We start from the raw sequence: 24380 nt of genomic DNA on the forward strand, positions 1-24380 counted from the left end.
CAACAAGCAGGAATCTTGGAACAAACAGGGCAAGACTGGTAGTTACCCTGATGGAAGAGAAAGGCAAAACAGACACCAGAGCTTCCATCAGTTCTCTGCCCTGTAGACGGGGTCTTGGCCTGATGATAATCCAGTCACAGCTGGTGTACCACCGTTAATCATCCTTAACTGCTCTTATATTGCTCCAGATCTACCTTCAGGATATTTAGGGTCTAGTTAGGAAATAGGTAGATGAGCTCAGGCAAAGGATCACTAATACGATTTTTTTATATTGAAAAATTAACTCCCAACCGGGGCAACATAGCAAGACCTTGTCTCTACTAAAAATTAAACAATCAACCAGGCATGGCACACACACCTGTAGTTCTAGCTACTCGAGAGGCCGAGGCAGGAGAATTGTTTGAGCCTGGGAATTTGAGGTTGCAATGAGGTATGATCATGCCACTGCACTCCAGGCTGGGCTTCAGAGCGAGACCCTGTCTGAAAAAATTAAAATTAAAAAAAAAATAGATTCTGAACCAAAGTGGGGGAGGGAAATGCTATAAGAGCATTTTTTTTGTGCCAACTGACAAAATTAGAGTATGGGCTATAGATTTGATTAAAGTATTATTTTAATTTATTATTACCTTTCCTGAATTTGGTAACTGTACTATGGTTATCTAAGATAATATCCTTGTTTTTAGGAAATATACATTGAAATATTAAGCGTAAAAGGGGCATGATGTACGCATCCTACTTTCACATGGTTCAGAAAAGATAGATAATGTGGATTAGGTACATAGTACGAGAGAGATGATAAATTAACAATGGCAAATGTTAAAAACTGGCGGATCTGGGAAAAGAATATCTGAGCGTTCCTTGTATTTTTTGCTACTTTATAAGTTTGAATTTATTTCAAAATAAGTTTTTAAAATATAATTTGTACAGTTGAGAAATGTATACCCCTTTTTCTGGGTATATAGATCTGAATTGCTTCTGACGTTTCTATAATCCTCTTGACAAGTGACCTTTAAGCATTCATCGGTGATGGTAAATCTTAATCCTCTAAGGTTTGAATATTTTTTAGAAATTACCAAAAATTCATGTTCAGTCAAGTATCATAAATAAAGTTAAGTAGTTAGACTAAAGCATGGTATTTTAGATGTAAAATGTGGCATGACTGTAAAAGTACAGGACTGTTTTGCTTGTATAATTGATAAGTAGTCCTGAAAATATCCTAAAAGATAAATTCTGCAGCATGTTTGGAATAAGACTGACAGCTTGGAAGGAGGATGATTTGGTTTTCTAAGTTCCTTTATATTTCTTTCCTTTACCAACCATATTACTTCATAGAGTTCGTAAGCAATGCACAAGATGTACACATAAAGCAGAAAGTGACAGAGTCTCAGCGAAAGATGAGAGTGGGGAGCTAGGTAATGGGATCATAAGGGTCTGTGTGAAATGTACAGATAACTAGAATGTCTCCTGAATCCTCCAGGACTACAAGGATAAAAGGAAATGACAGAGTGGTTTGGTTTTGTTTTCTTTCTTTTTTTTTTTTTTTTTTGGCTTTTCGGATTTATGAGAAAATAATTGTCTTTGCCCTTCTCAAGGTGATTTTTATGGCTACATCACTCCCTGCTTTGCAAAAGTTGCCTGGAATTGAGTAAGAGTGGGGAAGAAATCACAAAGTGCCAAGGTATATGCATGTTTAGTTTGCAAACTGGACTTTAAAGCTGTGATTTTTTTTTTCCCTGTCCAATGGCAGCCAATTTTGGAATCAGGAGCCGTAGAGCTACTTTGTGGATTAACTCAGAGTGAAAATCCTGCTTTACGAGTGAATGGAATTTGGGCTTTAATGGTACGTTTCACTTTTATATATATCATAACTTACAAAAGGAATACAGCTATTGTCTAAGTTAGAACTATAATGTGTTATTTGAAATGTCTGGAATTTTCTTTTTCAAAAATCTGGCTATTTTGTTCTAGTTTTCTAATGACTAGGACCTAGAAGGCTTAGTATTAAACTAACAGATTTAACTGTAAGCAAGTTATGCCTCCGTTCTCTTATTTATTATTAAGAAAAGTGAACAGATGTTGAAACTTAGCTAATTCTGGGAAAATAAATTTTCCTTATCATGAACATATTATATTTTTGTGTAGCGCCACCTACTTTACAAAGCACTTTCATATCTCCTTTGCTCTTCAGAACAACTTTATGATACCAACCAGAGAGTTCTTACCATACTTTATAGATGAAGTAAACTAAGGCACAGAATGATTATTTTTTTTAATTGGCAAATAAAAATTATGTGTGTTTATAAAGTACAACATGATGTTTTGAAAGATAAATAGATTGTGGGATGGCTAATTTGAGCTAATTAATTAACATGTGTATTACCTCACATATTTAACCATTTTTTGCAGAATGATTAACTTGTCGAAGGTAATAAAATTGGTGCATAAATACTTAATAATTTTTTAACAGTTTCTAGTAAATAATTTGTAATATATTGTAAAACTTTGAGGTTAGAGAACCATTTCTCCTTAAGATTATTAAAATTTTCTTGAAATTGTAAATAGAGTAATCCTAAATTGATTTTTAAAACATATTTATACTATTTACAATTTAATTGCTCTGTACCAGACACTAAGCTGGGCGTTTTATATTTATCCCTCATTCTTATTTTAAGATATATTGGTATATATTCACTTTACAAATGGGAAACTAGGACTCAGGGAGGGTAAGTGAATTGTGAAGGTGAAGGCCTCACAGTTAATAATGGAAATGGGTTCAGAACCTTTTCCAAGCCTGTATTCTCCCTGTTCCATGCTATATCTGCTGTGTTTTTATACAGACTTTAGGATAGAAATAATTATCTTCTAAGAAAGCAACAAATCTGTAGTTTCACAGATATTTTTCTCCTGAACTTTGCACAGCTTTTAGCACTTCTCTTTCTTGAAACTCCTTCCCAGGACTTATTTTTTTTAAACTCACTTTCTACCTAGCTTCCTTTTCAACCTCTTCTCTGAGAACATTCCCCCAAGTTTCAGTTTCTGGTTTCCAATTCTCATTACATCAGTTTCAGGGACTTCATCTCATAACATGGTTTCAACTTCCCCTAATAGGTTACTTTGAAATCTACATATCCAGATGTAACTGTTACCTGTTTCCCACATCTATCACTTAAATGGCGTATGGGACTTCATTTCAGAATTCTCTGACATGCACAACTTTAATGTTGGAAACTGAACTCATTTCACTCCTCAAATCTGTACAAACTATCTTATTCTCGTCAGTCTTCATATTACCAGCTGCTGTGTTTTCTCTCTGCAAAATATAAAACCTTAGAGTCATCTCTGACCTGGGTCTCTTGACACATAGAGTATTCTTTTTGCTCTGCCATGCTGCCTCACATTATTATGTAACTTGATGGCTAATGTCTTAGCTCTTTAATTAAAATAAGTTCCTGGAGGGCAACAACCACATATTATGTCTCTAGTTCACAAGATTTTTTTTTTCTTTCTTTTTTTTTTTTTTTGATACAGAGTCTCGCTTAGTTGCCCAGGCTGGAGTGTAGTGGCATAATCTCAGCTCACTGCAACCTCTGCCTCCTGGGTTCAAGTGATTCTTGTGCCTCAACCTCCTGAGTAGCTGGGATTACAGGCGTGTGCCACCACACCTGGCTATACAAGAGATTTTTGTATCAAAAGTTGATTTGTAAGTTGTTACTTGGAATTTATCATGGTTTTTGTTTTCTTCAGACATGTATAGCTTGGGATTAAGCTGGGTTAACCCATGATACAAATTAGAGAAAAAGGAGCAAAATAGCTACTAGCCACCCGGGATTACTGGTAGCTCAGACACACCTCCTACCCTCTGGAGAGCTTCCTGTGTGATACAGCCCAGCCATGCCAACACCTACCATAGTATTGTGAACACAAGAGATGTTTTCATGCCAGTAAAGTTAAGAAAACCCACTGCTTATTTTCTTCCGTGAGTACTTTGAAATCATTCTCAAAAGGCATGGCACAGTATAAGCATTAATAGTCATTTCGTGTACAGCAGGCAACTTGATAACCATAAAGATATTCTCAAAAGTGATAAATGAGTTTTGTATTTATTTGAGAAGTCTTAAGACATTCAAATGTCTGTACCTAAAAGTGGTCACATTCCTCATGTAGAAGTATATCTAAGAGTAACAGTTACGTTTCTCTTGACGGACAGAAATATAGGTGATTAACAAGAATCAAGAAAATAGATTGATTTATCCTTAAAGATTTTCTGCAGATTCTGTTTGTACTTTGAAAATTATCAGAGTTGGCCAAGCCTGGTGGCTCACACCTGTAATCTCAGCACTTTGGAAGGCCAAAGCAAGTGGATCACGAGGTCAGGAGTTCAAGACCAGCCTGGCCAACATGGTGAAACCCCATCTCTACTAAAGATACAAAAATTAGCCAGGCGTGGTGGCTCGCGCCTGTACTCCCAGCTACTCAGGAGACTGAGGCAGAATTGCTTGAACCCGGGAGGCAGAGGTTGCAGTGAGCCGTTATTGTGCCACTGCACACCAGCCTGGGCGACAGAGCAAGACTCTGTCTCAAAAAAATAAAAAAAAATTACCAGAGTTACTATTAAAATATAATTTAATAAAGTAAATGTAGACATGATTCTTGCAACTTCTTTAATCCTTTCAGAATATGGCATTTCAGGCTGAACAAAAAATAAAAGCAGATATTTTACGAAGCTTGAGTACTGAACAGCTATTCCGGTTATTATCAGATTCAGATTTGAATGTGCTGATGAAGACATTGGGACTTCTTAGAAATCTCCTCTCCACTCGTCCTGTAAGTAAAATCACCCAGGCTTCCAAATTAGCTAGCCCTGCATATGCATTGCAAGACATTGCTCTCTCTCTGTGCTCTCATTAACATCTGCCCATGAGTGTGATTCAAATGCTGCCCCCTTCCAAAGAAACAAGGAGTTGATGTCTAAACCTGTCACCTTCGTAGGTGTTCTGGGAGCTGCTTCACCATATCACCCCCTATTCTCCACTCCTACACTGCTTATCCTGTCTCCCTCTAATCCCTGGAACAGAGGAAAACATGACCAGTGCCTACCTTGATTTGTTACTTTTTTCTTACCTGGTATGCTGTCCAGGATGGATTTTCTCATCTGCCTAAATCACTTATCTCTGGGGCCTCTGCTTCTTTCCCTTTAGAGAATTCTCAGAGCCATTCCATAGACCATCTCCCTACCCACATTTACGGGATTGACCTCTGAAGATGCCAGTGTAGAAAGCAGTGGATACGTGTCAGAGTAGGAGAGGCTGAGCCTTGCTGGTGGGATACCTCTCAATGTTCTCTAATGTTCCCCAAGAAACAATGCAAGTGGCCTTCAGGTAGATGAGGAAATATGAGTGGTTCCCTTCTCTGTGCCCCACAAGTTGTCATTATGCATTTATTCTCCAAGATAGTATTAGGAAATCTACACTGTGTTTTCCATGTCTCTGGCTTCCCCCATTACCCCAGTCCATTTTTTATGCTTCCCCCTTTTTTTTTTTTTGAGACAGAGTCTTGCTCTTTCCCCCAGGCTGGAGTGCAGTGGCACAGTCTCCGGTCATTGCAACCTCCACTTCCCGGGTTCAAGTGATTCTTCTTTCTCAGTCTCCCAAGTAGCTGGGATTACAGGCGTGTACCACCATGCCCAGCTAATTTTTTGTATTTGTAGTAGAGACGGGGTTTTGCCGTGTTGGCCAGGCTGGTCTCGAACTCCTGCCCTCAGGTGATTGGCCCACCTCGGCCCCCCAAAGTGCTGGGATTACAGGCGTGAGCGTACCGTACTTGGCCTTTGCTTCCTTTTTCTTTAATATATTTGGGTTTGAGGACCCCCAATGATTGTGCTTTCATATTCTGTCAGGTCAACTTTATGTATGTATGTATGTATGTGTAATGTGTATATACATGTGTGTGTGTGTGTGTGTGTGTGTGTATGACATATTTGAAGGCAAACTGCAGCTTCAAAATATAATAAACACTGTTCTTTGGCATCTAGTTCTATATGCTATAGTGTTTTGCATGAAGCAGTTGTGAATCATATTGTTTTAACTTTTAGAAGCCTTGTATTCGTCCTGTGGTCTTTGTTTCTTTGATAATTATGGATTTCCCATTGTTTTACAGCATATAGATAAAATAATGAGTACTCATGGAAAGCAAATTATGCAAGCCGTCACTCTTATTCTAGAAGGGGAACATAACATTGAGGTCAAAGAGCAGGTACGTTGTTCCTTTCTCTTGGGGAATATTTTCTGAATGTGAGCACAAAGGAAGTTCTTAAGAGTCTCCTGAAATATTCAAATCTGCAGAAGACAGAGTGCTGAGATGGGAGATGCTCTAGAAATAGGAAGAAATATCTTCCACCATCCCTTAAACTCTCTTTAAGACTTCTTCCTGAAATAGAGGAAAACATGACCAGCGTCTACAGTTTTGCTCTCTGTGTCATGCACTGTGCACACTGTCCCTGTCTCTACAGGAGCAGTCACCTTTCATCATCCTGGAATGAATCCTTTTTCCAGGATAAATAAGTGATTTCCAGGATAAATAAATAGTGGTTTCTAGCCCTCTCCGCCGCCATGCTCTCAACTCAAAATTCCTGCGACTCGCTGATAAAATAATTCCTCATCCTGGAGATAGTTTTCATTTCTTTTCTCTTAGGCATCTTATTCCTCATCCCATAACCCTACTTCCATTAAGTTTCAGGAGGGCAAGTTAAGGGTAGGTATTAAAGTACGAAGCTGTGCATTTATCAGGACAGTTGGGAATTATTTTTCTTTATTTTCTGGGATTTATCATGGGAGTTTTAATGAATATATTTTATTTTGCTCTAAAAACAAAAGTCACCTGCAAACTTAAGATTTTAACACAGGACCAGAGATACTGGCGATCTTCAGTTTTTTGACATAGGTTTTGGCTACATGGTTATGTTCTCTTTCAAAATTCATTAAGCTGGACGGGTACAGTGGCTCATGCCTGTAATCCCAGCACTTTGGGAGGCCGAGGTGGGCGGATCACGAGGTCAGGAGATCGAGACCATCCTGGCTAACACGGTGAAACCCCATCTCTACTAAAAAAATACAAAAAATTAGCCAGGCGCGGTGGCGGGTGCCTGTAGTCCCAACTACTGGGGAGGCTGAGGCAGGAGAATGGCGTGAACCTGGGAGGTGGAGCTTGCAGTGATCCAAGATAGCACCACTGCACTCCGACCTGGGCGGAAGAGCGAGACTCTGTCTCAAAAAAAAAAAAATTCATTAAGCTGTAGACATATAGGTATGTCTATCTGAAAGAAACTCGCCCAAGGTCATCAGTAGAGAGTTGGACCCAGAGAGTCTAACTTCAGGGGCTGTGCTTCTCATCTTCTGTATTCTTGAGTTAAAGTAATTCAGCCAGCCTTGGAAGAACAGTCCAGGAAGTAAGAGTTGTAGGTCTTAGGAGCTGCAATTGAATTTGTGAGCAAAAAGTTGGTAGGTTTGATAAAGTGATTTTAAGACAGATATTTTACGTGATATCTCTTAAAATTTTTTTTAAAACTGTGTTTTGATGAAAAAAATTTAACACAGAGAAAGTATAATCTCATAAGCATCACTAAAATTAGCCGAAATGAAATCCATTACTGAAACACAACAATGAAGAAAGTACATTGTTCAAAATAAACCATTGTACTTTGAGAGGATAGGAATGAATTTTGTCTATAAAGACAACTTACCTGGATAGAATTTCAGTAACTTGAAAAGCGAAGCAAGACAGAAAGGTGAGGCAAGATTTGAATGAGGGCAAAATGAAAGACCAACAACAGTATTGTTTTTGCAGGACACAAAGGAACTTTCTCATACAGATTTTGGAAGTGATCTGGAAATAGGCGAGTATGGGAGGCTAAACAGTCGGCTCACTAGCTAGAAGTTTAATGCTTCTCAAAAGCACCTGATAAATTATTTTTTTGACTGACATACAATTGACATACAATAAGCTGCACATATTTAAAGTATACAGTGTTTCAGTTTTGACACGTGCATCCACCTATGAAACTGTCACCACAGACAAGATAGTAAAACATATGTATCACTGCCCTTAAATTGGGAACAAGACAAGTATGTCCATTTGTACCACTCCTGTTCAACATTGTGCTGGAATTCCTACCAAGCACAAGAAGGCAAGAAAAAGAAATAAGAGGTATACAGATTGGAAAGGACAGTATGAATGCCTATAATAGAAAATGCCATGGACTCACCAAAAATTCTAGAACTAATAAATGAGTTAAGCAAGGTCACAAGATAGAAAAGGCAGTTGTATTTTTATATACTAGCAGTGAACAATTGGATATTGAGATATTAAACAGTACCATTTGCAGTAACTTAGAAAAAAATGAAATTCTATGTATAAATCTCACAAGGATCTGTATACTGAAAACTATAAAAACACTGATAATGAAAGAAATCCAGGACCCAAATAAATGGAGAGATATACCATGCTAAAATGTTGGTTCTCCCCAAGTTGATTTATAGATTAAGCACAGTCCCAAGCACAATCACAGCATGTTTGTTTATAAATATTACTATAGATGTAAATATCTAAAATCTGTGCCTTTACATATAGATTTTAAAATCTGTATGAAAAGGCAAAGGAACTAAAAAGCCAAAACAGTTTGGAAGAAAAAACAGGAACAATTGGAGGATTCACAACACCTTGTTTCAAGACTTAATTATAAAAGTACAGTAGTAATGAAGACAGTATGGTCTTAGCAAAAAAAGATAGCACATATCGACCAATGGAACAGACTAGAGAGTCCAGAAATAGACCCACACATATATGGCCAGTAGATTATTGACAAAGGTACAAAGGCAACTTGGTGGAGAAAGAATGGTCTTTTCAAGAAAAGATGCTGTACAAGTGCCAAAAAAAATTAACTTTGAACTATACCACACACTTGAGATAAAAATTTACTGATAGACATAACATAAAAGGTAAAACTATAAAACTTAGAGAGAAAATGCAGGAGAAAATCTTTGAGATCTTAGATTAGGCGAAGAGTTCTTAGCTATGAAATTTAAAACATTCAGAAAAGAAGAAGGTAAATTGGTCTTCATCAAACTGTAAAACTTCTGCGTCGTGAAATGCACTGTTAAGAGACTGAAACGACAAGCCATCCACCGGAAGGAATATTTGTGGATCAGATATCTGACAAATGACTTGTGTCCAGAATATTTGAAGAATTCTCAAAACAACAAGAAAACAACCAAACATAAAACTGAAAAAACAATATGAACAGACACTGCACAATAAAATATCACTATGCATCTTTTAGAATAGCTAAAAATTTTTTTAAAACAGTACAGTTGCTAGCAAGGATGCAGAGCATCTAGTGGAAATGCAAAATAATACAGTCATTTTGGAAATGGTTTGACAGTTTCTTACAAAGTTGTACATATACGTGCCATACGACCCAGCAATGCCATTCCTAGCCGTTTACTCACATAAAATGAAAACCTAAGTTCACACACATTCATAACAACTTTATTTGTATCATCAAAAATTAGAAATTAACATCCCTCAACAAACTATGGTGCATTCATATAATGGGATATCACAGTCACAATAAAGAGGGACAAACTGTTGCTGTATGTAACAACATGGATGAATCTCAAATGCATTACGCTACATGAAAGATGCCAGATACAATACAAAAGGCAAGATACTATATGATCCCATCTATATGACCATCTGTAAAAGACAAAACAGTAGAGACAGAGAACAAATCAAAGGTATCCAAGCCTTAAAGGTTGGGGGCAGGATTTGACTATAAAGGGATAGCACAGGACAATTTAGGGAGGGAGGCAGTGATAGAACTGCTCTGTAAATGCTGACTGTACTGGTGGTTTTAAGATTCTATATATACATTTGGTAGGCCAGGCACGGTGGCTCACACCGTGATCCCAGCACTTTGGGAGGCTGAGGCAGGCGGATCACTTGAGGTCAGAAGTTCAGGACCAGCCTAGCAACATGGTGAAGCCCTGTCTTTACTAAAAATACAAAAATTAGCCAGGTATGGTCACGCACCTGTAGTCCCAGCTACTCGGGAGGCTGAGGCAGGAGAATCGCTTGAACCTGGGAAGCAGAGGTTGCAGTAAGCCGAGATCACACCACTGCACTCCAGCCTGGGTGACACAGCAAGACTCCATCTCAAAAAAAAAAAGATTCTATACATTTGGTAAATAAAATTACTACCAAAAGAGTGAATTTTACTGTATTTCATAATTCTGTTCTCATTTCTACAAATGAAATGCCACTTGGGATTTCGATCGTATTGTATTTATAAATAAATTTGGGAGGACGTGACATCTTAACAATATTGAGTCTTCCAATTCATGAATATATCTTCCCAATTATTTAGGTCTTCTTTAATTCTTCTTATAGCAGTGTTTTGTAGTTTTTGATATATAGGTCTTGCACTCTTGGTCAGATTTATTCCTATTTCATATGTTTGATGTTTTTGTAAATTTTATTTTTAAAATTTCGATTTCCAGTTGTTCATTGTTAGTATATGGTAATAAAATTTTCGTATGTCAGTCTTGTATCCTGCATTCTTGCCAAAGTCACTTTAAGTTATTTTGCGTGAATTACTTAAAATTTTCAACAAATGATCACATCTGTAAATAAAAATAGCTTTATTTCTTACTTTCCAATCTATATGCTATTTTGTTTTTCTTGTTTCATTGTCTAGCTAGAACTTGCAGTGTAATGAGATGAGGATGAACATATTTGTTTTGTTCCCAATATTAGAGAAAAGCACTCAGTCTTTCACTATTGAATATGTCGGGTGTAGGTTTTTCATAGATTCCCTTTATTAAAGAAAGGAAAAGAAATTATCTTCTAGTTTGTTGAGTTTTTACCATAAATAGATATTGGATTATTTTTACTTTTTTATTTTTAAACCCCAAACATGAGCCATAGATTTTTTTTCAATCAATTACTTTCTTTTGCATCTGTTGAAATTGTTTTTTTAAAACTCTGATTTATATGGTGAATTCATTTGATTCAGTTTCAAATGTTAAACTAACATATTTGAGGTAAACCTAATTTAGTCATTATGTATTATCCTTTAGATATATTGTTAGATTCAATTTACTGAAATTTGGTAAGGAGTGTTTCACATCTATATTCATGAGGGGTATTGATGAATAGTTTTTTAATAATGTCTTTTTCTGGTTTTGGTATTGGGATAATGCTGGCCTTGGGGAATGAGGTGGAGGTGTTCGCTCTTCAATTTTCTGCAAAAATTTGTGAAGAATTAATTATTTTTTTCTTCAATTTTGATGGAATGCTACCAGTTGGAATCATCTGGATACGATGACCGTTTTGTGGAAAGGTGTTTAACTACAAATTCAGATTTTTTAATAGAAATAGGACTACTCAGGTTATCTGTTTCTTGTGTGAGCTTTGGTATTATGTGTCTTTCAAGGAATTTGTTCATTTCATCTAAGTTTTCAAATTTGTTAACATAAAACGGTTCATAATTTCTTATTCCTTTTTCAAGTCTGTAGTATCCTTGGCAGTATCCCCTCTCTTGTTCTTTATATTGGTAATTCCTTTTTTTTTTCTTGGAGACAGAGTCTCGCTGTGTCACCCAGGCTGGAGTGCAGTGGCTGATCTCGGCTCACTGCAACCTCTGCCTCCCGGGTTCAAACCTTTCTCCTGCCTCCACCTCCCAAGTAGCTGGGATTACAGGCACGTGTCACCACACCCTGCTAATTTTTGTATTTTTAGTAGATATGGGGTTTCACCATGTTGGCCAGGCTGGGCTCAAACTCCTGACCTCAGCTGATCTGCCCACCTCGGCCTCCCAAAGTGCTGGGATTACAGACATGAGCCACTGTGCCTGGCTGGTAATTCCTTTTTTCCTGTTCAGTCTGACCAGAGGTTTAGCAAAGAATCAGTTTTTGGTTTCATTGCCAAAGAATCAGTTTTTGGTTTCATTGATTTTCCCACTTATTATTATTATTATTATATATATTTTAAGACAGAGTCTCACTCTGTTGCCCAGGCTGGAGTGCAGTGGTGTGATCTTGGCTCACTGCAGCCTCCACCTCCTGGGTTCAGTCTATTCTCGTGCCTCAGCCTCCCAAGTAGCTGGAATTACAGGTGCCCACCACCATGCCTGGTTACTTTCTTTTTTTTCTTTTTTTTTTTTTTGAGACAGTCTCTCGCTCTGTCGCCCAGGCTGGAGTGCAGTGGTGTGATCTCGGCTCACTGCAAGCTCCGTCTTCCGGGTTCACGCCATTCTCCTGCCTCAGCCTCCTGAATAGCTGGGATTATAGGCGCCTGCCACCATGCCAGGCTAATTTTTGTATTTTTAGTAGAGACAGGGTTTCACCATGTTGGCCAAGCTGGTCTTGAACTCCGAACCTAGTGATCCACCCACCTCGGCCTCCCACAGTGCTGGGATTACAGGCATGAGCCACCATGCCTGGCCAACTTTTTGTATTTTTAATAGAGATGGGGTTTTGCCATGTTGGCCAGGTTGACCTCAAACTCTTGACCTCAAGGGATCCACCTGCCTCGGCCTCCCAAAGTGCTGGGATTACAGGCATCAGCCACCGCACCCAGCCTGTTCTCTATTTCAGAGTTTAGCCAACTGTTTCTTTAAGAGGCAAGGTATATATTTCAATTTTTGCAGGCTCTGGTCTCTAGCAACTACTCCTCTGTGCTGTTCTAGCCTGGAAGCAACTATAGACAATACATAAGCAAGTAGATATGGCTGTCTTCCAATAAAAATTACCAAAAGAGACAGCAGACTGGATTTGGCCCAAACCATAATTTACCAGTCTCTGCTCTATTTCCTTGATTTCCAGTTGTTCATATTAGTATATACACTAATATGCGTACATTAATGGTGTGGGTGTGTGTGTGTGTGTGTAGTTTTTATCTGTTCCTTAGCTCACATATTCAATGAGTTGGCCCAATAATTGATTTCTTTTTCTTTTTTTTTTTTTGATAGAGAGTCTCACTCTGTTGCCAGGCTGGAGTGCAGTGACGCGATATCGGCTCACTGCAACCTTTGGCTCCCAGGTTTAATAGATTCTCCTGCCTCAGCCTCCTGAGTAGCTGGGACTACAGGCATGCGCCACCACACCCAGCTAGTCTTTGTACTTTTAGTAGAGATGGGGTTTCACCATATTGGCCAGGATGGTCTCAATCTCTTGACCTCGTAATCCACCCGCTTTGGTCTCCCAGAGTGCTGGGGTTACAGGTGTGAGCCACCGCCCCGGCCTAATTGATTTCTTTAAGATTTGATTGCTTGTCTCCATAGGAATATTTACAGAGGGGTTTTATGAGCTTCAAAACAGAACTGTACCTCACTTTTTCATGCTGTTCAAGCCTGGGGATGCATGGGCGTATTCTAACACTACAAAAAGGGGAATTACTCACCTGTCTTGCTGACCTGGTCTATTCTGAGGGATCTTCCCTGGAATTCCCCTTTATATTCTGTTTTAGTGGGTAAGAGGGGGTAGCTGTTTTCTAGGAGAGTCTAAAAGTGTTTACCATTTCTCTTCCCCCCATGAATACCTTGGTTATGAAGCCTTATTAAAATTCTTATTCATAATAAGGATCATTTCCATTACTTCCTCTTAAGCTGCTCTGGCCAACCCATAGGATTGAGTCTTCTTGGTAAGAAATGGTGGAGAGATGGAGAACAAGAGAGTAATAAGCTATGATTCTTCCATGTGCTGCCCCCGCTCCTACTTCTCAGCCAGGTTTTACCTGTGTTCCCTAGATTGGCCTCACCCTCTGCATTTTGGTTTTGTCTTAGTAAAGCCTGGCAGAGACTGGTTGGTGAGGATTGGATCACTACCACTGATGAATATCATTTTGCTGGCTTGCTCTTGGAAGGTGGGGTTGTTGTAAAGCTTGCTAAGGCTTTCTGTAATCACTTTAAGGAATTCGAGCAGAACTAGAAGGAATGTGGTATTGTGAGTCTGGTGTTGCCACATTTGGATTGCATGTCAAGACAAGTGATGGAGAGGGAGAGAGAAAAGAATACTTGTAGGCTGGGCACGGTGGCTCATGCCTGTAATCCCAGCACTTTGGGAGGCCAGGGCGGGTGGATCATGAGGTCAGGAGTTCGAGACCAGCCTGGCCAACATGGTGAAATCCCGTCTCTACTAAAAATACAAAAATTAGCTGGGCGTGTGGCACACACTTGTAATCCCAGTTACTTGGGAGACTAAGGCAGGGAGCATTGCTTGAACCCAGGAGGCAGAGGTTGCGGTGAGCCCAGATGCACTCTAGCCTGGTGACAGAGTGAGACTCCATCTCAAAAAAAAAAAAAAAAAAAAGGAACACTCATTGTATTTAATTACCTTATCCTGTAGGCTCAGGTGGGGCTAGAATATAGGGAAAGCAACGATAATTCACTTGGTTCTGATGTCATCTTGAACTTGGACTCCTAAAACATTGACTGTCAACTCTTCCCCAAACTAATTACTCCTGTTAATTACACTTGGCATGCTCATGTCTGCCCCTTCATAAGATCTTTTCCGCAAGAGACTAACCAAAAAGAGTGCAGATTATTATTGATTTCCTTAGAGTATTGTTCCTACCAAGAAATTTAAGACAGTTTCACCATGTACCAGTGCTTATGTACCAGATCACCAGAAATCTGACACCTTCTCCAGATCAGATCATGTCTGTCCCACTTCTTGGGCACATAAAGCCCTCCTCAACATGATCTAACTGCCCTGGAATAAATAGTTCCCCAGTGTTTGCTTAGCTATTGGACTATACAATTTATGTTTCATGTCTACTGTGTCTCAGAGGCAGCCTTTTCTGGTTTCACACCTCAGGACTTACTCCCTAATAATCTAGTGACAGCAGTGTGTTAATCTAGGAGAAATAAAACCACACACGCTTTAGGATATTTTGGGGCTTGGGCCACTGCAAGAAAACAATCTCCTCAATTAGCTTAATTAGCTTGTCTTGCAAAGAAAAAGTTTAAAATTGGAGAAAATTATGTGAGTCTGAATCCCAGCTTCACCTCTCATTCCTTTGAGGTATTCCTGACTGGGTTCCAGGACTGTGTCACTTCCTCCGGGAAGTTTTCCCTAACCCTTGCAGTATCCAACAAGTGCTCTTTCTTCATGCCTTCTCTATTCTCTGTTTACTTCAATCACAGTGAAATGTAATTGTTTGTGTGACAGCTTCAAAGTCAGGGAGTGTGTTTTTTTTTCCTGCCTCATCCTGATGCCCTGCAGAGGGCATACCCATAATAGTTACTTAGTAAATGGTTTGTTGAATTGCTAAGCTTGGCACTGTTGGTATCCCTATCATAGTCCTTTCACCATTATCTTAATTTTTGCCTCCTGCTGGTCTGGCTTTGAGAATGGAACAGCTGACAAGAACAGTTTTTCCTTTGAGAAGACTGCAGTCATCAGTGCAGTGGTTGTCCTCAAGGTGTACTGTCCTTCCAGCTGGCACAGGCTTCCTCCAGTCTTCACATTAGACCAGCCTGGACTAAGTTGCTTCATACATTTTACTTCTTTTCTCTTCCCCTAACAGGGTTCAAAAAAGTTAAAAGGTCCTAAGTGCACATGGCTGGTGTAGCTGGTGGACAGGGTCTAGGCCTTCACCCAGAAGGTCATGAGCTTAGGAGCAAGCAGCAGGTGGAGGCCTAGGAAAGGGAGGCTTCCCTGGGAGGGGAGTTGCAACACCTACAGAGCTTCCACCAAAGAGACTACATTGTTGAAGGAACATTGTGGTTTGTCACAAGAGCTTCTCTTAGAAATGAGATTTTCAAGAAAAATAATAAGTTACATTTTCTCTTTGATTTGATAGTATGACCTATACAAAATAGCTGCCTTTGACCAGCTATGGCTTCCCATAGCTCAGGAAGAAACCACCAAAGTGTTGGGGTTCTCTTTTGCCTAAGGTAGATTTTGTTTGGGTGTGGTTACTGTTACTAGCAATGATGTCAGCAGATGAGAAATCAGGGCATTGAGAGTGGAACCTGTGAGAATCCATGTACCTTCAAGTGAAAAATTGCCCAAGCTCTTGAGACAGCTTGACTCTGGGACTTCAGAGCTTTCCTGACTGTTGGCCCTTTGTTCTTTTCCAGACACTGTGCATCTTAGCCAACATAGCGGATGGGACAACAGCAAAAGATCTTATTATGACCAATGATGATATCCTACAGAAAATCAAGTATTACATGGTGAGCCCTTGTCCCCTTTCACCGTAGGATTAGAATGCAGGGACTGTTGCATTTTTAACTCAAAATAAATTGTGCAGAGATTTTAAAAAGAGGAAAAGAATAGATTACTCTGTGACTCCTCAGATTCAAAGAACTCTCTTCCATCCTGAAGAAAAAGAAAAAAACACCAACTCCTTGAAGCTTGTACCACTTGGTAATATTATTACCTGCCAGTCGACTCCCTGCCCTTGTCATCTACTGGTTGCCTCCCTCTTACTGAGTGAAGACCCGGGCTCTTGGCTTTCTCTCAGTGGCCTCCAGTCCCTGTCTTCTGTCTCAAGGCTTCAGTCCCATGGTGGATGAACCCTCTAGCCCCCTGGCACCATAGTTCCTTTACCTGTTTGCTTCTAAACAATCTGCTACCTACTGCCATGGCCATATCCTGCATCTGATCATCACCAGAGACTGCCCATTGCCAAAATGTGGGTATCAAAAAGCCCTCCACTTCTCATTCTGTCAACATCTCCTGACAAAATTCTAATCATGGAGGAAGCCTCCCCTTGTCACACCTATCTGTCTTCTCTATCCCTGCCATGTCAGAGTTAACAACTGCAGAGAAAGGCACAGAACCCCACATGGGCACAGCTCCTCCTAGTGTCCTTCAGTGATTCTCTAGGAAGCTGGCACCCTCATTCTCCATGAGAATATATTCTTACCTGCCCCTCATTCTTTAGACCTCACCTCTTCCCTCCCCCATTACAGTTAGTGATGACCTCAGCTTTTTGTCTTATTAAGAGAAGAGAAACTAAAATCCTTCAGTGGCTCCTTGTTATACCTTGAATAAAGTTCGTATGCCTTTATGATGGCCTGTCAAGTCCTACGTGACCTAACCCATTCATATCCCCAACTTATCTTATTCCTCTCTTCCTTTGTTCACTACACTGGCCACTTGAAGTTTCTCAAAAAGGCCACGTTCTTTCCTTCCTTGGGACCTTCACACATACTGGCTTCTCTGCCTGGAACACTTTTCTTCTCTCTGTTTCACCCTTCAAATCTCAGCTGAACTTATACTTTCTTACTGGACTCTTGCCCTTATAGATTATTCCTCATTACTGCATTTTGTTCACTTCCTTCAGAGCACTTAGCTCAGTTTTAGTGATATATGTTTGTGTGCCTACTGGGTGTCTTTACCACAGCGTAAGTTCCATGAGGGCAGGGACCATGTCAGCTTTGTGCACAACTGTATATCCACCATGGTGTCTGGCCCTTAGCATATGCTTGGTAAATATTTGTTGAATGAAAACCTTACCACTTCAACCAGGGATTCCCTTATCTTTCCAATACTAATCCACACTGTATCCATAATCACTTAAAAAGTTTTCCTTAACTTCTCATACCCATCGAGACATACCCATTTCTCTGTTATTCAAAGACAAAGCCAAACTTCTTTTTATTTTGAGACAGGGTCTCACTCTGTCACCCAGACTAGAGTGCAGTGACGCGATCTTGGCTCACCACAACTTCCACCTGTAGGTTCAAGCGATTCTCCTGCCTCAGCCTCCTGAGTAGCTGGGATTACAGGCGCGGCACTATTGCCCGGCTAATTTTTGTATTTTTAGAAGAGATGGGGTTTCACCATGTTGGCCAGGCTGGTCTCAAACTCCTGATCTCAAATGATCCACCTGTCTCGGCCTCCCAAAGTGCTGGGATTACAGGCATGAGCCACTGCGCCCAACCTTCAAAGCCAGACTTCTTAAAAGCATCTTTTCTGTACATACGGCCTCCTCCTCTGCCTCTAAAGTCATTTTTTAACCTCCTCTGTTTCACCTCTACCCCCATCATTCAACTGAAACTTAGGGCCACCAATGACTTCCATGATGCCAAATCCAAAGGATCCTTTTCTCTTTTCATCTTACCCCACTTACAGCAGACTTCAACCCAGCTGACTATTTCCTCCTCCTGGAAATATCCTTTTCTCTTGGCTTGCGTGACACCATACCTCCCTACCTATCTCTGGACCCTTTTCTCTTCTCTTCTACACGTGCTCTCCTGAGATCAGCAGATCACAACCTTCATTGTACAATAGGACCTCGTAGGGAGCTTTCAAAGATTACTGCTTTGTCTCCTCCCTCCCAAGATTCTTATTTAATAGATCTAGGGTTATAGCCTGGGCATCAGGATTTTTTTTTAAGATCACTGGGTGGTTCTTACGTACAGACAGAGTTGAGAACCATTGCCTTAGGAGAATCTCATCCACCCCCATAGCTTATACTATCATCACTGTGCTGACAATACACTGTAATTTCCAAATGTGTTTCCCAGCCTAGACCTCTCTTCCAAACTCTGGACTTACATATCCGCCTGCCCTTTCAGCATCTCCATGTGGCTGTCTGATAGCATCTTGGAATCTATCTTGATTTCTCCAGCTCTGTCCCCTCATTCACTCAATTTATCAACAAGTCCTATCTGCCCTTCTTCCAAAACTGATCTTGAATCCAATTACTCCTTTTCATCACCACTGCCCCCACCCTAGTCAGTCCAAGTCACAGCACCTTATGCCTGATTAACTATATAACAGTATCTTCCTTGACACTTCCTCACTGTCACTCCAATCCCTTCAGCCCAACTGGTCTTCTAAAAATGTAAATCAGATCTTGTCCCTCCACTGTTTAAATCTTTCAGGGGCTTCCTCTCAACACAGAATGAAATCCAGAGTCCTTACTGTGGCCTACAAGTTGGCACAATTTGGCTACACCTACTTCTCTGAACAGACAGCTCCTTCTTACTTCAGACCTTTTCAGGAACTTTTTCTCCTGCTTGGAATTTCAAGCCCCTTGCTCTTTGCACATCTGGCACCTTCCTATTCTTTAAGTCTCTGTTTAAGTATTGCCACCCTCAAAGAGATCTGTTTTGTGCATTCCACCTAAATTAAGTTCCCACCCCTCCACCCTCCAATTTTCTCTATCCTCATAGTAATTTGTGTCCTTAAAAAATATTGAATGATGAATAAACTTATGCATAGTAAATGCATATTTGTTATAGTATATACAAGCTCATTTATTCAACAAATATTGATTGATTGTCTGAGGCTGGGAGCAGATAAGTTTTATTCTGTTTTGTCTTAAGGGAGCCCAAACTGGACATCTCCTTAAAAGTGTTGGCAGTTAGAAGAAGAAAGAATCACTAGCCATAGAATTCTACTGGAGGAAGCCACATCCATTTCTTTGTCTCTGCTTAGTTGAAATATAGTCCTACATGAGAAGATAAGTCTGTCTTAGCCTTGAAAAAACCATTGAGCATATTTTGCCATTGATACTCTCTCAGATGTGCATAAATTATTTGAACATACTAGAAATTTTTTTTATTGACCAATAGGACAATCATCTATAAAGTTTATTTTATTATTGAGTCCTTTTTCATTCAGGCGAAAACACCCTATCCAAAGCAACCAGAAATGGTTGTACTTTCAGTACATAAAGCAAAATAAATAAGAATTGTATTTAGAAGAATAGGAGGCTCATTAGTGATAGTAAAGACATTTGAGAAATCAACTAGCGATTTCATCAAGTTTTTGGGGATATTCCTTTAGAAATAGGAGTAATTTAATTATTCCAGAAGCTGAATGTATTATATAATGCTTCTTGTTTTCAGCAAGTTGTGTCAGAGGAGTAAGCCATTTATAGATTGTGTGTGTGTGAAAGTCTAGGTGTTACAGAACTTCATGACCATATATTCACTTTCTTCCCCAAAGGAATTATTGGGCCATTTGAATAAGATAACCAGTAGCTTAAGAGATAAATACCAAATGCACATCCACCCAGTGTATGTTGGCTGTTGGTGACCTGGAAACATAGCCTAAGTCGAAAGCATAGAATTGTCATATGACAGTGTTTCCTCGTGCATGGATTGAATCATAAATTGCAAACTGTACCCATAGCCCTAGAGGTGTTTTGTTTGTCCAGCCAGATGGTTTTTTAAATTTGAATTTGCATGTCTTTTGGCAAGGCTTGTACTCCTCAATTTGCCAGATTCTCCACTGTCCCTTGTTATCTTTAGCCCAACCCTTCTACTCATTAGTGTTAACTTCATGGCCCCTCAAGACATTTGAGTTTGAGGACTCTTCTTCAGACTTTTTTTTTTTTTTTTTTTTTGAGACGGAGTCTCGCTCTGTCACCCAGGCTGAGTGCAATGGCACGATCTCAGCTCACTGCAACCTCTGCCTCCCAGGTTCAGGCGATTCTCCTGCCTCAGCCTCCCTAGTAGCTGAGATTACAGGCGCCCGCCACTACACCCGGCAAATTTTTGTATTTTTAGTAGAGACAGGGTTTCACTGTGTTAATCATCCTAGTCTCGAACACCTGACCTCGATCTTCCACCTGCCTTGGTCTCCCAAAGTGCTGGGATTACAGGCATGAGCCACCTCACCTGGCCCTGCTTCAGACTTTTAGGTTATAGGAATTGGCTATGGTAGGTCCCCCCAAAAAAAAATCTAAAATGAGATTACCACCATTTTGATTTTTTTTTCTTTTTCTGTATTAATAGGGCCATTCACATGTTAAACTGCAGCTTGCAGCCATGTTTTGTATATCAAACCTCATATGGAATGAAGAGGAAGGTAAGAGATTGGTGAGATTTGTTTTGAAAAAAATTATGGGAAGAGTGTCTTGCACAGGGAAGCTAGCAGGTGCCCCTGAGATCCTGGGCAGAGGCTCTGTTCTTGGACCATCTGGCCCAAGCACCCTCTAGAGTTGCCCTGGTATGAGAATCAGTGGAACTAGCCCAAGTCAGCTGGTCAGTCAACACTGAGTGCCCCGTTGGAGCCAACTCTATACCAGATTCAAGGAGGGAGAGTGAGAAGTAAGTGACAGTCCCTGCCAGGAGAGAGCTGATGAGGAGGATGGTGAGATGCACTTGAAGAAGGTGAGAGGAGAGAGTGGGTGGGAGGATGAGCCTTTCGTTTTGAGCAGAGGAAGCACATATGAGGACTACAGGCAGATAAGCATGATGGAGAAGAAGGTGCATTTGTGAGAAATGAGAAGTGCAATGTGACCAGTGAAGCAGCTAGTCTGTAAGGAGGCCTGTATAGATCAGAGGTTCTTTACTTTGGCTGCATATTAGAATCACCTGGGAATTTTTACACCAGGCCAATTAAATCAGAATCTCTCGGGGTGGGCTCCAGGCATAAGTGGTTCTTAAAGCTCCCCAGATGATTCCAATATATAGCCAAGGTAGCAAATACAGGAGAGCAGTGGGTCTCAAGGCTGGGTTGGCTGCATTAGAATCACCTGGGGAAGTTTTTAAAGTGCAGATTTCTGGGCCCCATCCCTAGAAATTCTGATTCACTGAGTCTAGAGAGAGCCAGTATATGAGTGGTCACTGTGGGCTCTTCAGTGGGGAAGACTCCAGGGGATTACTCAGCAGCAGCGCCCAAAACAAAGTGCAAGAAGGGAAACTGGATTCCGCCCACAGACCTAGATACCACGTACCACTTGTGTACTGGGGAGACAAAGCCACCCTCAAGGAGATGTTAGTCTAGTTGGAAGATAGAACAGAATGATATGAAATTGGAAGTGCCAGCTGTGCTGAGAGGCAACAAAAAGTGCTGGGAGGACAGAGGAGGGTAGAAGACAATAGAAAGGGGAAGATAAGACCTGCTTAGAGTAGTAAGAGCCTGGCCTGGTCTGGCCAGGGCCATGGGTATGTCCTGAAAGAAGTGGTGAAGCTGGGAGTCAGTGGCAGAGGGCCTTGTACCAGGCTGAAGAATCTCACCTTGACCCTGTAGTCCATGGAGAAATCAGTCCAACTGCAGAACCCAGGATAGACTGCAGGCAGGATGATCAGGAGGCAGAGAGACGAGTTAGAAGACTGTCAGAGAGTCCAAGCATGAGCGGGTCCAACTACATTGGGAGAGGGTAGAGGACAAGGGGTACAGGAGGAGTAGGGAGTGAAGGACACTGGTAAGGCTCTAGATTGTTAATTGTACATCAAAGAGAGCATTTGCCTGGGTCATGTTCCCAGTAACCTGGCTTTAATCGTTTAGGTTCACAAGAACGCCAGGATAAATTACGAGACATGGGCATCGTAGATATTCTACACAAACTGAGTCAGTCACCAGATTCAAACCTTTGTGACAAGTGAGTATGAATGTGAAAAGGCCTTGCTTTGGGCTGTGTTGGATTCTTTCGTGAAAGGGTTTGAATTGCTTGGTAATTAATGGCCATACTTTTTAAAATCTTTTAGATTCTTAGATTTTCTTCATAATTTTCTATGAGCCACTGTACGACATTTGAGTGAGCTGTAAACTAATAATTACCAAATTATTAAAGACTCTCATCTTATTGTGAATTCACGTGAGTCTGGGCCATCTTAGTGGATTGGATCCAGAGGCCATTTGCGTACATTCGCCTGATCATTAGAATAGACATGCATGTGGCATTTTGGAAAGCAGAAAAACCAGTAATGCAAACATTCATTAGCTCAAAACCTCACTGAACACCCGTTTTGTGCCAGGCTGGCCCAGCTCCTGGGGATACAAAAGCTACCACTAAGGAATCACTGTCCTCAAAGAGCTCATCATTTCCTGGTAGAGTCAAGAGTTATAATCAGATACTCAGCTAACCTCAAAATAGCCATAAATGCTCTTCCTAGCTGTGTGTTCTCCCTTGTAACAGCCTTCACTTTCCATTTCACCTTTGTATAATAACAAATCAGGGAACATCAGTACTTTTGAGTCTCTAGACTCTTGAGCATGGCTTAGAAGCCCTTCAGCCCTTAATGGTCTGGCTCTGCCTTTCTCATCTTCTCTGCACCCACCATGTACACCCCATACTGCAGCCATACCTGTCCGCTTACAGTAGCACACCTTCGTGCATTTACACATTCTGTTCCATCTACTTTGCTATCCCAGTCTCCTCTCCTCTGAGTCCCCATTCATTCATCAGATATCTCTTTTGAATACCTGCCTTCTGCCAGGCATTGTTTTAGGCACTGGAGATATAATGGTGAATAAAATTGATGAAGTCTTTGCCCTCGTGTAACTTACATTCTAGTATAGAAGATAGATGATAAGCAAATGAATACGTAACACAGTATCAGGTGATGAGAGGTACCATGAAGAAAAATAAAGCAAGGTGAAGGAATGGAGAATCAAGAAAATTTATTTTAGGTTAGCTAGTAAAGATCTCTCTGAGGATGACATGATCAGAGACCTGAATGAAATAAGGAAGATTTCATCTGGGCAAATGCATAGAGGAAGAGTATTACAGACAGGGGTGATAGTGGGTTCAAAGGCCCTGAAGCAGGAGTGAACTTGGTATGTTCAAGAAACAGCAAGAAGAACAGAGGGCTAATGAAAAATATGGAGAGGGAGAATGCTAATAGGTGGAAGAATCCAGACCATGAAGAGCCTTGTAGGTAAGGTAAGGACTTTGGCTTTTATTCAGAGTTTAATAGGAAATCATTGGAGACTGTTAAGGAGAGGAGACATTATCTGATTTGAATTCCTTTTTTCCTTTTCCTTTTTCTTTTTTTCTTTCTTTTCTTTTCTTTCGAGATGGAGTTTCACTCTTGTTGCCCAGGCTGGAGTGCAATGGCGTGATCTTGGCTCACTGAAACCTCTGCCTCCTGAGTTCAAGTGATTCTCCTGCCTCAGCCTCCCAGGTAGCTGGGATTACAGGCGCCTGCCACCACGCCCAGCTAATTTTTTTGTATTTTTAGTAGAGACAGGGTTTTACCATGTTGGCCAGGCTGGTCTCAAACTTCTGACCTCAGATCATCCACCCACCTCGGCTTCCCAAAGTGCTGGGATGACAGGCGTGAGCCACCACGCCGGGCCCTGATTTGAATTTTTAAAAGATCACTCTGGTGACTTACAGAGAACCATCTGTAGGAGGGCAAGAATGGAGGCACAGAGACCAGTTAAAGGCCATTGTAATAATGTCGGTAAGGGAGTGGGGGGATTAGTATTGGAAGTATTGAGAAGTGGTTGGATTCAGGATTTAATCTGAAGATAAGCACCAACGGGACTTACTCACAGATTCAGTACAGGATGTTAAAGAGAGGAAAGGAAAATGTCTAGGGTTTTAGCCTGAGCAACTGGACAGAGGGTGTTGCCATATACCAAGATGGTGAGGAATATAGAAGTGGGTTGCGGTAGGGAGCATCAAGA

The 24380-nt window shown here is 40.6% G+C and overlaps 2 protein-coding genes across 16 annotated transcripts in view, besides 1 other annotated feature; one reads left to right on the plus strand and one right to left on the minus strand.

Moving 5' to 3' along the window:
- ARMC8 (armadillo repeat containing 8) overlaps nt 1-24380 on the plus strand; it is a 111142-nt gene that overhangs the window by 81045 nt on the left and 5717 nt on the right. For 11 of the 13 annotated variants that reach the window (XM_006713565.3, XM_024453441.2, XM_011512632.2 and 8 more), the window contains 6 exons: nt 1748-1840; nt 4675-4824; nt 6157-6252; nt 16139-16234; nt 20756-20828; nt 22254-22347. In XM_006713565.3, coding sequence (XP_006713628.1) covers nt 1748-1840; nt 4675-4824; nt 6157-6252; nt 16139-16234; nt 20756-20828; nt 22254-22347 — 602 coding nt within the window. Of the gene's footprint in view, nt 1-1747; nt 1841-3744; nt 4230-4674; nt 4825-6156; nt 6253-16138; nt 16235-19339; nt 20570-20755; nt 20829-22253; nt 22348-24380 lie in introns of those variants that run through there. The other 2 variants (XM_047447900.1, XM_017006100.3) reach the window with 2 other exon arrangements.
- NME9 (NME/NM23 family member 9) overlaps nt 1-24380 on the minus strand; it is a 68416-nt gene that overhangs the window by 6857 nt on the left and 37179 nt on the right. Inside the window, exon 11 of one of the 3 annotated variants that reach the window (XM_047448078.1) lies at nt 20749-22110. The exons of the other annotated variants lie outside the window; for them this stretch is intronic. Within the exon in view, the coding sequence (XP_047304034.1) occupies nt 22082-22110 (29 nt within the window). The 3' untranslated portion in view covers nt 20749-22081. Of the gene's footprint in view, nt 1-20748; nt 22111-24380 lie in introns of those variants that run through there. 3 annotated transcript variants of the gene reach the window in all.
- Nucleotides 2994-3123: an enhancer, noted in NCBI's record as "active region_20602". NCBI's record gives its function as "activates an Ori minimal core promoter by ATAC-STARR-seq in GM12878 lymphoblastoid cells {active_cell/tissue: GM12878}" and the evidence as "EXISTENCE:reporter gene assay evidence [ECO:0000049][PMID:35858748]".

The sequence above is a fragment of the Homo sapiens genome, chromosome 3 (genome assembly GCF_000001405.40).
Source record: "Homo sapiens chromosome 3, GRCh38.p14 Primary Assembly".
NCBI lineage: Eukaryota > Metazoa > Chordata > Mammalia > Primates > Hominidae > Homo > Homo sapiens.